Here is a 15902-nt window from a genome sequence, read left to right as displayed (position 1 = left end):
CTGAAGAAAGCAAATATTTGGATTCATTCAGTAGTAACTGTCCAGTAATAACATAATCTACTTTTATTTGTTTGTTTTTTTGAAACAGAGTCTCACTCTGTTGCCCAGGCTGGAGTGCAATGGCACGATCTTGGCTCACTGCAACCTCTGCCTCCTGGGTTCAAGTGATTCTCATGCCTCAGCTTCCTGAGTAGCTGGGATTACAGGTGTGCTCCACCACGCCTCGCTAATTTGTTTTGTATTTTTAGTAGAGACAGGGTTTCACTCCTGGCCTCATTTGATTCACCCACCTTGGCCTCCCAAGGTGCTGGGATTACAGGCCTGAGCCAATGCACCCAACCACATAGTCTACTTTTAACTCTAGTCTTGCTTGCTTACCTTGAAAATTGGTATTTCGTCTGCTTGCATTTTTTTGCACTGTTTTTGACAGAATTTTTGATCTACATCTTATCCATTCTGAGATGATATTGAAAGACATCACATGTATAAATGTGGGAGGAGGGGCTGGGCGCAGTGGCTCACGCCTATAATCCAAGGCAGGTGGATCACGAGATCAGGAGATTGAGACCATCCTGGCTAGCGTGGTGAAACCCCGTCTCTCCTAGAAATACAAAAAAAAAAAAAAATTAGCCAGGTGTTGAGGCACGTGCCTGTAGTCCCAGCTACTCAGGAGGCTGAGGCAGGGGAATCACTTGAACCTGGGAGACAGAGGTTGCAGTGACCCGAGATCACACCACTGCACTCCAGCCTGGGCAATAGAGGAAGACTCTGTCTCAAAATAAATAAACAGAGGGAGGAGCCAAGACGGCTGAATAGGAAAAGCTCCAGTCTACAGCTCCCAGCGTGAGTGATGCAGAAGATAGGTGATTTCTGCATTTCCAACTGAAGTATCAGGTTCATCTCACTGGGGTGTGCCAGACAGTGAGTGGGTGCAGGACAGTGGGTGCAGCGCACCGTGCACGAGCCAAAGCAGGGCGAGGCTTCGCATCACCCGGGAAGCGCAAAGGGTCAGGGAATTCCCTTTCCTAGTCAAAGAAAGGGGTGACAGACAGCACCTGGAAAATCGGGTCACTCCCACCCAAATACTGTGCTTTCCCAATGGGTTTAAAAAACGGTACACCAGGAGATTATGTCCCACACCTGGCTCAGAGGGTCCTATGCCCACGGAGTCTTGCTCATTGCTAGCACAGCAGTCTGAGATCAAACTGCAAGGCCGCAGGGAGGCTGGGGGAGGGGCACCCGCCATTGCCGAGACTTGATTAGGTAAACAAAGCGGCAGGGAAGCTCGAACTGGGTGGAGCCCACCACAGCTCAAGGAGGCCTGCCTGCCTCTGTAGGCTCCACCTCTGGGGGCAGGGCACAGACAAACAAAAAGACAGCAGTAACCTCTGCAGACATAAATGTCCCTGTCTGACAGCTTTGAAGAGAGTAGTGGTTCTCCCAGCATGCAGCTGGAGATCTGAGAACGGGCAGACTGCCTCCTCAAGTGGGTCCCTGACCCCTGAGTAGCCTAACTGGGAGGCACCCCCCAGTAGGGGCGGACTGACACCTTACACGGCCGGGTACTCCTCGGAGACAAAATTTCCAAAGGAATGATCAGGCAGCAGCATTTGTGGTTCACCAATATCCGCTGTTCTGCAGCCACCGCTGCTGATACCCAGGCAAACAGGGTCTGGAGTGGACCTCTAGCAAACGCCAACAGACCTGCAGCTGAGGTACCTGTCTGTTAGAAGGAAAACTAACAAACGGGAAGGACATCCACACCAAAAACCCATCTGTATGTCACCATGATCAAAGACCAAAGGTAGATAAAACCAAAAAGATGGGGAAAAAACAGAGCAGAAAAACTGGAAACTCTAAAAACCAGAGTGCCTCTCCTCCTCCAAAGGAATGCAGCTCCTCACCAGCAACGAAACAAAGCTGGATGGAGAATGACTTTGACGAGCTGAGAGAAGAAGGCTTCAGATGATCAAACTACTCCAAGCTACAGGAGGAAGTTTGAACCAATGGCAAAGAAGATCAAAACTTTGAAAAAAAATTATACGAATGCATAACTAGAATAACCAATGCAGAGAAGTCCTTAAAGGATGTGATGGAGCTGAAAACCAAGGCACAAGAACTATGTGATGAATGCAGAAGCCTCAGTAGCCGATGTGATCAACTGGAAGATAGGCTATCAGTCATGGAAGATGAAATGAATGAAATGAAGTGAGAAGAGAAGTTTAGAGAAAACAGAATAAAAAGAAATGAACAAAGCCTCCAAGAAATATGGGACTATGTGAAAAGACCAAATCTGCGTCTGATCAGTGCACCTGAAAGTGACGGGGAGAATGGAACCAAGTTGGAAAATATTCTGCAGGATATTATCCAGGAGAACTTCCCCAATCTAGCAAGGCAGGCCAACATTCAGATTCAGGAAATACAGAGAACGCCACAAAGATACTCCTCGAGAAGAGCAACTCCAAGACACATAATTGTCAGATTCACCAAAGTTGAAATGAAGGAAACAATGTTAAGGGCAGCCAGAGAGAAAGGTCGGGTTACCCACAAAGGGAAGCCCATCAGACAAACAGCTGATCTCTCAGCAGAAACCCCACAAGCCAGAAGAGAGTAGGGGCCAATATTTAACATTCTTCAAGAAAAGAATTTTCAACCCAGAATTTCATATCCAGCCAAACTAAGCTTCATAAGTGAAGCAGAAATAAAATACTTCACAGACAAGCAAATGCTGAGAGATTTTGTCACCATCAGGCCTGCCCTAAAAGAGCTCCTGAAGGAAGCACTAAACATGGAAAGGAACAACCGGTACCAGCCACTGCAAAAACATGCCAAATTGTAAAGGCCCCCAAGGCTAGGAAGAAACTGCATCAACTAACGAGCAAAATAGCCAGCTAACATCATAATGACAGGATCAAATTCACACATAACAATATTAACTTTGAATGTAAATGGACTAAATGCCTCAATTAAAAGACACAGACTGGCAAATTGGATAAAGAGTCAAGAACCATCAGTGTGCTGTATTCAGGAAACCCATCTCATGTGTAGAGACACACATAGGCTCAAAATAAAGGGATGGAGGAATATCTACCAAGCAAATGGAAAACAAAAAAAGGCAGGGGTTGCAATCCTAGTCTCTGATAAAACAGACTTTAAACCATCAAAGATCAAAAGAGACAAAGAAGGCCATTACATAATGGTAAAGGGATCAATTCAATAAGAAGAGCTAACTATCCTAAATATATATGCACCCAATACAGGAGCACCCAGATTCATAAAGCAAGTCCTTAGTGACCTACAAAGACTTACACTACCACACAATAATAATGGGAGACTTTAACACCCCACTGTCAACATTAGAAAGATCAACGAGACAGAAAGTTAACAAGGATACCCAGGAATTGAACTCAACTCTGCACCAAGCTGACCTAATAGACATCTACAGAACTCTCCACCCCAAATCAATAGAATATACGTTCCTTTCAGCACCACACCACACCTATTCCAAAATCGACCACATAGTTGGAAGTAAAGCACTCCTCAGCAAATGTAAAAGAACAGAAATTATAACAAACTGTCTCTCAGACCACAGTGCAATCAAACTAGAACTCAGGATTAAGAAACTCACTCAAATCTGCTCAACTACGTGGAAACTGAACAACCTGCTCCTGAATGACTACTGGGTAAATAACAAAATGAAGGCAGAAATAAAGATGTTCTTTGAAACCAATGAGAACAAAGACACAACATACCAGAATCTCTGGGACACATTCAAAGCAGTGTGTAGAAGGAAATTTATAGCACTAAATGCCCACAAGAGAAAGCAGGAAAGATCTAAAATGGACACCCTAACATCACAATTAAAAGAACTAGAGAAGCAAGAGCAAACACATTCAAAAGCCAGCAGAAGGCAAGAAATAACTAAGATCAGGGCAGAACTGAAGGAAATAGAGACACAAAAAACCCTTCAAAAAATCAATGAATCCAGGAGCTGGTTTTTTGAAAAGATCAACAAAATTGATAGACCACGAGCAAGACTAATAAAGAAGAAAAGAGGAAGAATCAAATAGACGGAATACAAAATGGTAAAGGGGATATCACCACCAATCCCACAGAAATACAAACTACCATCAGAGAATACTATAAACACCTCTACGCAAATAAACTAGAAAATCTAGAAGAAATGGATACATTCCTTGACACATACACCCTCCCACGACTAAACCAGGAAGAAGTTGAATCTCTGAATAGACCAATAACAGGCTCTGAAATTGAGGCAATAATCAATCGCTTACCAACCAAAAAAAGTCCAGGACCAGATGGATTCACAGCCGAATTCTACCTGAGGTACAAAGAGGAGCTGGTACCATTCCTTCTGAAACTAGTCCAATGAATAGAGAAAGAGGGAATCCTCCCTAACTCATTTTATGAGGCCAGCATCATCCTGATACCAAAGCCTGTCAGAGACAAAACAAAAAAAGAGAATTTTAGACCGATATCCCTGATGAACATCGATGCAAAAATCCTCAATAAAATACTGGCAAACCAAATCCAGCGGCACATCAAAAAGCTTATCCACCATGATCAAGTGGGCTTCATCCCTGGGATGCAAGGCTGGTTCAACATACACAAATCAGTAAGTGTAATCCAGCATATAAACAGAACCAAAGACAAAAACCACATGATTATCTCAATAGATGCAGAAAAGGCCTTTGATAAAATTCAACAACGCTTCATGCTAAAAACTCTCAATAAATTAGGTATTGATGGGACATATCTCAAAATAATAAGAGCTATCTATGACAAACCCACAGCCAATATCATACTGAATGGAGAAAAACTGGAAGCATTCCCTTTGAAAACAGGCACAAGACAGGGATGCCCTCTCTCACCACTCCTATTCAACATAGTGTTGGAAGTTCTGGCCGGGGCAATCAGGCAGGAGAAGGAAATAAAGGGCATTCAATTAGGAAAGGAGGAAGTCAAATCGTTCCTGTTTGCAGATGACATGATTGTATATCTAGAAAACCCCATCGTCTCAGCCCAAAATCTCCTTAAGCTGATAAGCAACTTCAGCAAAGTCTCAGGATACAAAATCAATGTACAAAAATCACAAGCATTCTTATACACCAATAACAGACAAACAGCCAAATCATCAGTGAACTCCCATTCACAATTGCTTCAAAGAGAATAAATTACCTAGGAATCCAACTTACAAGGGACATGAAGGACCTCTTCAAGGAGAACTACAAACCACTGCTCAATGAAATAAAAGAGGATACAAAGAAATGGAAGAACATTCCATGCTCATGGGTAGGAAGAATCAATATCATGAAAATGGCCATACTGCCCAAGATAATTTATAGATTCAATGCCATCCCCATCAAGCTACCAATGACTTTCTTCACAGAATTGGAAAAAACTACTTTAAAGTTCATATGGAACCAAAAAAGAGCCCGCATCGCCAAGTCAATCCTAAGCCAAAAGAACAAAGCTGGAGGCATCATGCTACCTGACTTCAAACTATACTACAAGGCTACAGTAACCAAAACAGCATGGTACTGGTACCAAAACAGATATATAGACCAATGGAACAGAACAGAGCCCTCAGAAATAATGCCGCATATCTACAACCATCTGATCTTTGACAAACCTCACAAAAACAAGCAATGGGGAAAGGATTCCCTGTTTAATAAATGGTGGTGGGAAAACTGGCTAGCCATATGTAGAAAGTTGAAACTGGATCCCTTCCTTACATCTTATACAAAAATTAATTCAAGATGGATTAAAGACTTACATGTTAGACCTAAAACCGTAAAAACCCTAGAAGAAAACCTAGGCAATACCATTCAGGACAGAGGCATGGGCAAGGACCTCATGTCTAAAACACCAAAAGCAATGGCAACAAAAGCCAAAATTGACAAATGGGATCTAATTAAACTAAAGAGCTTCTGCACAGCAAAAGAAACTACCATCAGAGTGAACAGGCAACCTACAGAATGGGAGAAAATTTTTGCAATCTACTCATCTGACCAAGGGCTAATATCCAGAATCTACAATGAACTCAAACAAATTTACAAGAAAAAAACAATCCCATCAAAAAGTGGGCAAAGGACATGAACAGACACTTCTCAAAAGAAGACATTTATGCAGCCAAAAAACACATGAAAAAATGCTCATCATCACTGGCCATCAGAGAAATGCAAATCAAAACCACAATGAGATACCATCTCACACCAGTTAGAATGGCGATCATTAAAAAGTCAGGAGACAACAGGTGCTGGAGAGGATGTGGAGAAATAGGAACACTTTTACACTGTTGGTGGGACTGTAAACTAGTTCAACCATTGTGGAAGTCAGTGTGGCGATTCCTCAGGGATCTAGAACTAGAAATACCATTTGACCCAGCCATCCCATTACTGGGTATATACCCAAAGGACTGTAAATCATGCTGCTATAAAGACACATGCACACATTTGTTTATTGCAGCACTATTCACAATAGCGAAGACTTGGAACCAACCCAAATGTCCAACAATGATAGACTGGATTAAGAAAATGTGGCACATATACACCATGGAATACTATGCAGCCATAAAAAATGATGAGTTCATGTCCTTTGTAGGGACATGGATGAAATTGGAAATTATCATTCTCAGTAAACTATCGCAAGGACAAAAAACCAAACACCGCATGTTCTCACTCATAGGTGGGAATTGAACAATGAGAACACATGGACACAGCAAGGGGAACATCACACTCTGGGGACTGTTGTGGGGTGGGGGGAGGGGGGAGGGATAGCATTAGGAGATATACCTAATGCTAAATGACGAGTTAATGGGTGCAGCACACCAACATGACACATGTATACATATGTAACAAACCTGCACGTTGTGCACATGTACCCTAAAACTTAAAGTATAATAATAATAAAATTAAAAATAAATAAGTAAATGTGGGGGGAAATTGCCATATATATATACATATATATCCTTGTAATGCCTCAGAACCTAGTGCATCAGAATTCTTTTTAAAACTCAATTAAAAAATATTGATTGTAATCTATTTTTCTACCAAGAATGTTAACCTTGGCTCTGAGATAGCATTTTTTTTCACCTTTTATGCATAGACATTTTGATGTCATGTGATATTTTAAAAGCCATATTAGTCTTCTCAATATATGAAGTCTTTACATCTTGAGGCTCAAGTTACAGAATATTTTCTGCCTTTAACTCTAACATTTAATATTCTTATATCCTACAGGAGGTCACAAAATGTTATACAGTAAAGTAATTGGAGCACCACCTGGTGGGCATTCTGGCTACATTCCTGACTTGAAGGGAACAAAATGTGGTTTTTTGAGACCAAGGAGGAATATGACTAGGAAGACATGTCTCCTCCCTTCCGCTGGAGACTGAAGTAACAACTACGTAACTCATAGAACCTTCCAACCACCTAATACTTTAGGAATGTGCTTGGAGCTCTTCTAAATCCATCTCACTTGAACTGCAAAGCCAGAAACAACAGCCATTATTCCTCTGAAGCCTGCAAAATGCTGAGTAGATTAAAAGGATTATGTTTCTGTTCTCATATGCTCAATGCCCATAGCTCAACAACCTTACTTTTACAAGAACCCAGCAACAATGATTTCATTTTGAATGAATCCACGATCTTCTCTGCAACATAGTTAAATGTAACCAGGCCAGGACGGTGGCTCACCCTTGTAATCCCAGCACTTTGGGAGGCCAAGGCGGGAGGGTCATTTGAGGCCAGGTTTTCGAGACCAGCATGTGCCACCATGCCTAGCTAATTTTAAAATTTTTTTGTAGAGATGGGGTGTCGCAATGTTGCCCAGGCTGGTCTTTAACTCCTGGCCTCAAGTGATCCTCCCGCCTCCGCCTCCCAAAGTGCTGGAATTACAAGTGTGAGCCACCGTGCATGTCAACCATTCTTATTTATTCTGCTTTTTATTTTCCTGGCTTCTCTTCAGCACTCTCAACCATTCTTTATAGCAATGCTCCCCAAATTTTTTCATGTGGTATTGCTCGTAGAAAGTGATAATATTAGTACAGTGCTGGACTAAATGGATGAGGTTGCTCAAAGGTTTTATGCAGCCTCTCAAAGAGATGCCACTGGGATTGAGCTCACTTGCCCAAGACAGTAACCCGCTTCTCAATGTATCCTTTAATGGTGTTCCTCTTTTGCCAGTCTTACTTGCCCACTCCCTGATCATGCCTCCTGGGATCACCTCCCAAGTAAACTACTTTCACCCAAATTCTTGTCCCATCACAGTAGATAATGAATACCAAAAAAATGGCAAAATGACAATAAAACTAATATCCAAGCAAAGTGGACCTTTGTGCATCAAGCTTTGCTCTAAAACATGTATCAACCTATTAGGTAAAGCAATGCATTGATTAATTAATGAAGGTAATTACTTAAATTCTGTGCTTCACTTTGCATGTGGAGGCACTGCATGCATTTTAAGAACATTTTTAGACTTATATCAAGACATTTGTCTTTCATACCTAAAGAACTAAGCTACAAAAGGTTTAATGACTTCCCACGTCACATCTTTAACAGTAAAAGTCAAAATAGTTAAAATTCATTGAGCATTCACTATATGCTGGATTCTGTGTGAAGTACTTTTCATCATTCCACTAATCATTTATTTTTAACTTTTTTTAACTATTTTTAATCATTTATTATTTTGGACGTTAAGATACCCACTCCACAAATGAGGAAACTGAGCTAAAAGAGATCGGTTCCAAATTGGCACTGATCAAAAATTAAAGAGAAAGCTTTGAACTAGCAAGTAGAGAGAAGCTGTGGCGACATAGACTATTTTTACACTACAAAATGTTATTCTAATAAAGTCTACATATACACTCAAAGTGAAGTAGAAGATCAGGACAGGTAATCAGATAATTCAAATGCGGCAAATTACTCTTTTTCACAGCAATTCATGAAAAACATATTTGGCTGAATTATCCACATGGTTAAATGAAATCTGCGCTATATGTTATATGTTTAACTAACCTTGAACTTGGTCTTAAACAAATCGTCACTTTGGTCAGCCCTATAAGCAACTGTGGTTGCAAAAAAATTGTCGAGCTGATTATTTGATTAGGTAAAATTGAAAACTCTGATATTTTTAGAGTTGACATTAACATTTCAGTAAAATGAATTCTTCATTCTTGACTCTGTAGGCCGTCTGGGTTTGTTTCCTAGAGACAGAGATGATATTTGCACCAAAAATCTAAATACAGAGAAACAATCTTGAGCAAATGGCCAAGTTTTCACATTGAGATGCTTAAACACATGAAGCTGCCCACATGAAACTGCTGTCATCTTCCATAAAGACTTGGTTTCTTTGTTTTATTTATGTTGACTCACATTGCAGCTACTTTATATTTAGAGTAAAATGGAAATTCTTCTGTATTCTACACAAAGCCAAGCAAATTGCAGTTTTCCTTTCGTTTCTGGGTGTCTTATTTGTTCAAGCTCTTTATAAATAGCCCTGAGCTTGGAAATTAGTTAAGTTTTGCTGTTTTTTCATTCTCCTTTTCTTATAGTTTAAAAATCAAACTGTCTGATTTTATTCTACTTTCATAAGACTGGGCAAGAAGCCCATTTCCTGTTAATGATGAGGTGACCATATTTTGACAGTACATTAAAGAATAGTTGGATGACATACTGGCAGGGGAAAGTCAATTGAGGAAAAAGTGTACTCAGATTTGGAAAATGAGTCAGTGTCTAGGAACCAACTGCATTTAACACACAAAATTTGCTCCAAATGAGCAAATTGAAAATCCTTTAAGAGAAGCTGCATAATAAATATGTCTAGAGTTGTCAGGCACAGAATTCTTTATAAAAAAATTCTGTTTAATTGCAGTGACATCAATTTCTGGGCTATCTATAGGATAAATTGATAGATTACTTAAACTAAAACACACAAATCAAATCACTAAATGCATTCACAACTTTTCCCTAGAATTGTCAAAGTCTACATGCCTAAGTGTGTTCTATTCTAGTAAGTGGTTGAGCGTCTACCGTAAACCAAAGTGTATGGAAAAATAACCCAAACCTTTGGAGGAACAAAATTAAAATGGCACATACCAACGTGGCAAGCTAGCAACAGATGCACCAGAGAGACTTTATATTAAAGAGCTGACTTGAAAAAGCTATTCAAGAAATCAAGATTTCTCCACTTCTTCAGCTTAATAATTAAAGTCATACTGTCCCTTCTCCTCCCCAAATAAAAGGTAAGAGTCGAATGAAAGAGGCTAACACAGACAACCTGATGGCCTTGAAAATACTGCATAATGGCCTGATCATTTGCCCACATGGTTCAGTAAAAAGGTCAAGTCATGTCTTCACCAGAGATTAAGCTGCTTCTCCATAGACATCCAGGTCAAAAGCAATCAGGACTATTAACAATCTAGTTGTTATTAATGATAACATATATAAACATTTTATAGCACTGTACAGCTTACAAATTGCTTTCACATACATTAATCACATGACCCTCATAACAATCCTATCAAGTAGGTAGAACATGTACTACTATTACTATTTTACGGAAGACATCACAATCCAATTCTCTAGATATCCCAGTTTTCTCTCCTCCACCCATTACTGAGTCTCAGTCTCCAAACTATACATTCTTAAAAGTTTTTGACGCCTTTAATCCCAGCCAATAAATGGGGACAAACAAGATCTGCCAGTGGGCAGATCACAAGGTCAAGAGATTGGAACCATCTTGGCCAAGATGGTGAAACCGTATATCTACTAAAAAATGCAAAAATTAACTGGGCTTGGTGGGGCGCACCTGTAGTCCCAGCTACTCAGGAGGCTGAGGCAGGAGAATCGCTTGAACTCAGGAGGGGGAGGTTGCCGTGAGCCAAGACTGTGCCACTGCACTCCAGCCTGGCAACAGAGTGAGGCTCCATCGCAAAAAAAAAAAAAAAAAAAAAGCGTTTGACTTTTACAAGTTTAAATCACCCCTCATCACATTGGTATTAGAGGGGTTGCAACTGTTTACCAGTGTATTCAATGATAAAATGATGGGGCTGGCTCTGTCATTATATTCTGTGAAATAATGGGTTGAGTATTTGAAGTGATGACGAGCACTCCAGGAACAATGAAAAGGAGAAGAAAAATCAGTGCGATAAATCAGGAGGCCAAAATAAATGCAGACCACTCCCCCGACGACAACCAGTTATTAAGCAAGAAAGCTACCACTAAAATGAAATTCATGGCTTGGTGTCATTATAAATACACACTAAAGAGGGCTTCAGGTACTGCACCACCCAACACTGCAGAAAACACTAAAATACTTCCATAGCAACTATCACTAAGGACATCATTAGGATGCTGAAAATGTAAAAGAGGAAAAAAGAGCCAATAAATGGGGACAAACAAGATTATTTCCCTGGTAGAGTAAAGCCCATTGTTCACTCTCAGAAGACATAAATATTTAACCACCCAAGGCAAGCTATAACCAGCTATTTCAGCTAGCCAAACCCATCTTCCTGATATATAGTGTTTTCAAAAAATAAATCAACCAAGGAGTTGAAACCCAAGGAACTCACAAATACATGTACCAGGCTGGTGGCAGCACGCTCTAGTCTGAAGGATTGATCATGAGTCAGGAGGGGAGGGTGCAAGCCTCAGCCCGGTCACTTAGTACCTATCAAACCTATTATGGGACATGTAGGTATTGTCAGGGACACAAAAGTGAATCAGAAACAGGTTTTGTCCTTGGGCTGTTCAGTGTTGTAGGGGGAGATAAAAGATAGATTACTATAAAATAAGCTAGATGTGATAGATGTCAAAAGAGAAATAAGATTGCTGCTATTCAATTTTAAAATCTTATTGCAGGGTGTTGTGGGTGGAATTGCACCCCCCAAGAAGGTATTTTGAAATCCCAACTCTCAGGATCCCAGAATGTGACTTCATTTGGAAACAGGGCCTTTGCAGATATAATCAAGTTAAATGAGGTTACTAGAGTGGGCCTCAATCCACTGTGACTGATGGCCTTATAAGGGAAGAGAATGCCACGTGGAAACAAAGACACACAGGGAGAAGATGACTGTGCAACATCAGAAGCAGAGATTTGAGTGAAGCGGCTCTAAGCCAGGGAACACCAAGGATTGCCAAGAGCCACCAGAAGCTGGGAAGGGGCAAGGAAGGACTCTCCCTACAGCCTTCAGAGAGAGGATGGCTCTATCAATGTCTTGATTTCAAACTTCCAGCCTCCAGAACTGTGAGAGAATAAATTTTTGTTGTTTTAAGCCAATTCTTGGTATATTATAACCATAGCCCTAAGAAGCAAATACAGAGGCAAAGAGTAACCTCATCCTACTGGGATTAGGGCCAGGTTTCTGGTAAGAAATGACACATAAATTGAACTTTGAAGAACTTATACTATCTAAATGGTAGGAAATGTGGTTTCCTATTTACGTGATAATAGTATTCATCAACCATTGAGAATCCACTTTGTGTCAGATATTGTACTAGGAGTCATTCATATATAAATGGATTGGACTCTGGCTCATATACAGAAGTCATCTAGACCTCACCTCCCTCCTTGACCATCCCACTTCCATCCCACAGTGGTTGATAAGTATAAAATGTTTAGTTTAGCAAATAGAAGAGGAAGATGGGTTTGGGGGTTGGGAGAGCTGTGGAGGGGAGAGGGGAAAAGGGCAAAGCATCTGTTCCCTTTCTGACCTCCTTCTAGAAAGACGGTGGAAGCAGGTTGCAGAACCTCTGTGAGTTGTTTTGTTTACATGTGAAATTAGCTGAGGAAATAGTCAAAGAGACTCTCAGAGGCTCTAGGCACAAGCCCAGCTATTTGGGGCTGAGCCAGGGAAGGACATTCTCCTCTCTGCACCACAGAGGCCAAATGGAGGCTTCCCAAGGACCAGACTCTTTGGGAACACTAAGAGGCAACACCCTTGGCATGTGCTGTGTTCTCATGATGGACAGTGACCCTGGAAAAGTTTCAGCCTCGGCAAAGCCTCAGCAAGTGGCCCTGCAAGCAGAAGCTGGACATGTGGGAGCTGGGGCAGAAGCAAAATAACAGGGCAGAAGACGATGGCAACTGTGAAAGAACGACTGGTGAGCAAGGGAACTTCTTTGGAAACTTCTAGAAATAACTGGAAATACTTTGAAGGGGGTTCATTTCTTTCAGTCGAGTAGGAAGGGGATTTACGCCATAAATAATCGGTATGTAAAAAAAAAGACAACTGGCAGATGAGGCCTGGAACACATGGGTCAGGCACGGATTTCTAATATATCCAACTGAAATTCATCATTATCCCCTTTCCACTTTACCAGCAAGAAAACGGAAGCTCAGGAGGTTAAATAACTTTCCCAGCCAGTAACTCTGTAAGTGACTGAATCAGAAATAAAACCATGTCTGTCTGCCAGTAAGTCCAGTATTCTTTCTACTATACCACACTGCTGATCTGGGCAACAGTGGGGAAAATATGACACTTGAAAGGAGCTTGGAAAAGAACACAGTAGGTCAGGATACTAGCCAGGGTTCTGGCAGAAAACAGAACTCAAGCCAAATTGTTCAAATGAAGGGACTTTAACAAAGATACTGCTGACATAGCTGTGGGCAGAATTAAGGGAATTAGCAAGGGATGTTGAGACACCCAGAGACCAGCAATAGAAGGAAACCACTCCTAGAGAGAGACCTGGTGAGAGCTGGTGAGACCTGGAGCCACGGAAGACAGACCACCAGCAGGATCTATAATGGTGGAGGGAGCCTTCCAGAGAGGTGGCTCCAAAGCAGGGAGGGAATGGGGAAAAATAACCCAACCTTTCCTTTTATCTCCCAGTCTCCTGCTGCTGCCACCCATTGGCTGTGCCCCCACCTGGAAACCAGCTATCAAGGGAGCCTGGGGCAATAAGTGGCAGGAATTAGAGACTCCTGGAAACAGAAGAGGAGGAAGACATTGCCATGGAGAGCAGAGAAGTTGAGGCCATGTGCTAGTCTTGTCCTGTTTTGCTCTTAGATTTATCCCCTGTCCCCGCTCTACCCTGTTCCGTATCACAGAGAATTACTTTTTCCTTGTTCCTTTGCCCTCTGGTTTCTGGGTCAGTTCAGCCATTGGATGGCCCTGAAGAGAGAGCAGAAAGGGAGAAGCTGGGTATTTTTCCCCACTTCTCTCAGCTTCAAGTATTGTCTCTGGCAGCGGCCATCTCTTCTATGGACCCAGCTCTTGCTCCAAGAGCTTCTGTGGTTCCAACTTCTCCCTGGTGGCCTGGCTCCTTTTGTCCCTTAAGCTTTAGGCAGTGGTAGCAGCTTCCTGCTCTTGATAATCTCAAGGATGCCTTACTCTCCCACTTTAGGCTTCTTACCTTTGTCATCTCCTGGTATTAAATCTCTTCTTTAAAATATCAAGAATATTTAGAATCCTGACTGATAGAGGAAACTATCACATGGGAGAGCCTCAACCTTCACAGAAAAGCATGAGGGAAATGAAAATACACATGGCTTGCATATCATAAATATGGAAAAACTTCCATTGAATCTGTCACTGCTGTGTGCCTATTCCCTCCTCTCACTGGGGCCTCCAATCCCTCAACCACCAGTGTTCTGGTCCACTTTTTAGCCTGGCTTGCCCTTCATACCCCTGGAGATCATGAACAGTCATATCCGCAATATTCTGTTAGAATTCTTGATTTTCCTGCTGACTTTTCCTTCTGCTGTAGCTATTTTATCAATCCCTATCCCTGAGTACAGTAAATTATCTATTTTCTCTCCTCCTGCTTTTTTTACTGGACAAAGGAACATGACCTGGCCAAAATTTCTTCTCCTGGGATGTTTGTCTGCCCGGCTACTTATATCCATTGTACCCATTTCCAACAACCATGCACCCATGGCTTTGCCCAGAGTCCCTGGAATCTTTTCAGGTTCATGTAAACTTAAAATTTATGCAAAGGAAATCCACCAAGGATTGGAGACCAAAAAACAAACGTATGACATCATGCTATAATTTCACACACACAGAATTATTTTAAAAATAGAATGGGTTCATAAAAATGAAATAAATTGCTGATATGTAAAACTCATCATAGAAAAATCAATGTTATTAAAATGGTTATTCATAAAATAATTCACCACATTTTTCACTTTAGAATACCAAACCCCCACCATGCATTTGGAATTTAATTCAATTTACAAAGTTTCCATTTGCCCACAACTCTTCAGGACCACATGCCTTTTCCAAGTCAAATATATTTCAAGGTCCAATATCAATGGTTTAGATATACATTAAGACATGTCAGACAGAGATTCTGTCTGCTCCACTATATGCTTTTGTTTTTGGACCTGGGATGCAGTTTAATCTACTTCTTAAATGCAAAGATGTGGTAGATTGCGTTATTGGTTTTGATTCTTTCCTATACTATATCTTTGCCCTTCACCATTGGCTTTGGAGTCCCTCTCATGTTGAAGGTTAGATTTCATAGAGTAATTATTGAGGAATGCTCTTGGAAACAGCCATTTTAAGGGAATAGGGGAAGCAAGATTGACACAGAAAAAAATGGGACTAATTTAATTGCAACCCAGGCCTCACCCAATCCTATGGGAAGCTCTGATGCTAGGATAGCTCTTCAGAGATGTCTTGAATTGAGGCAAGAGGTCAGACTTCATACTCACATCTGACTAGTCTTTGAATGTGGGTTGACCATAGGGGCACCCTTGGGCAAAGCAGTGCCCTTCAGCTGAGGACAATTCCTGGTGGGCAGTGGGATGGGGACTCCAGGGCGAGGGTGGAGGTGAAAGGATGGGAGTCAGTGGACTTGGTGAGCCATCATCAGCAAGCAATATTCCTAGCAGCTGAGAAAGTAAGTGCCTTGGTTCTGGAAAGGGACCAGGAAGTG

The 15902-nt window shown here is 41.4% G+C and overlaps 1 protein-coding gene and 1 long non-coding RNA gene across 2 annotated transcripts in view; one reads left to right on the top strand and one right to left on the bottom strand.

The window, feature by feature from the left end:
• The window catches only part of PRIM2 (DNA primase subunit 2), a 425311-nt gene that overhangs the window by 371281 nt on the left and 38128 nt on the right, over window positions 1-15902 (bottom strand). The gene's annotated exons all lie outside the window — the stretch shown is intronic.
• On the top strand, window positions 12224-15046 carry LINC03001 (long intergenic non-protein coding RNA 3001). The gene is made up of 3 exons (NR_109774.1): window positions 12224-12267; window positions 12903-13124; window positions 13853-15046. It is a non-coding gene; the product is annotated as a long intergenic non-protein coding RNA 3001 (long non-coding RNA).

This window comes from Homo sapiens, chromosome 6 (genome assembly GCF_000001405.40).
Source record: "Homo sapiens chromosome 6, GRCh38.p14 Primary Assembly".
In the NCBI taxonomy this organism is placed as follows: domain Eukaryota; kingdom Metazoa; phylum Chordata; class Mammalia; order Primates; family Hominidae; genus Homo; species Homo sapiens.
The sequence above is the reverse complement of the archived record's forward strand: the minus strand, read 5'-3'. Positions and strand labels throughout refer to the sequence as shown.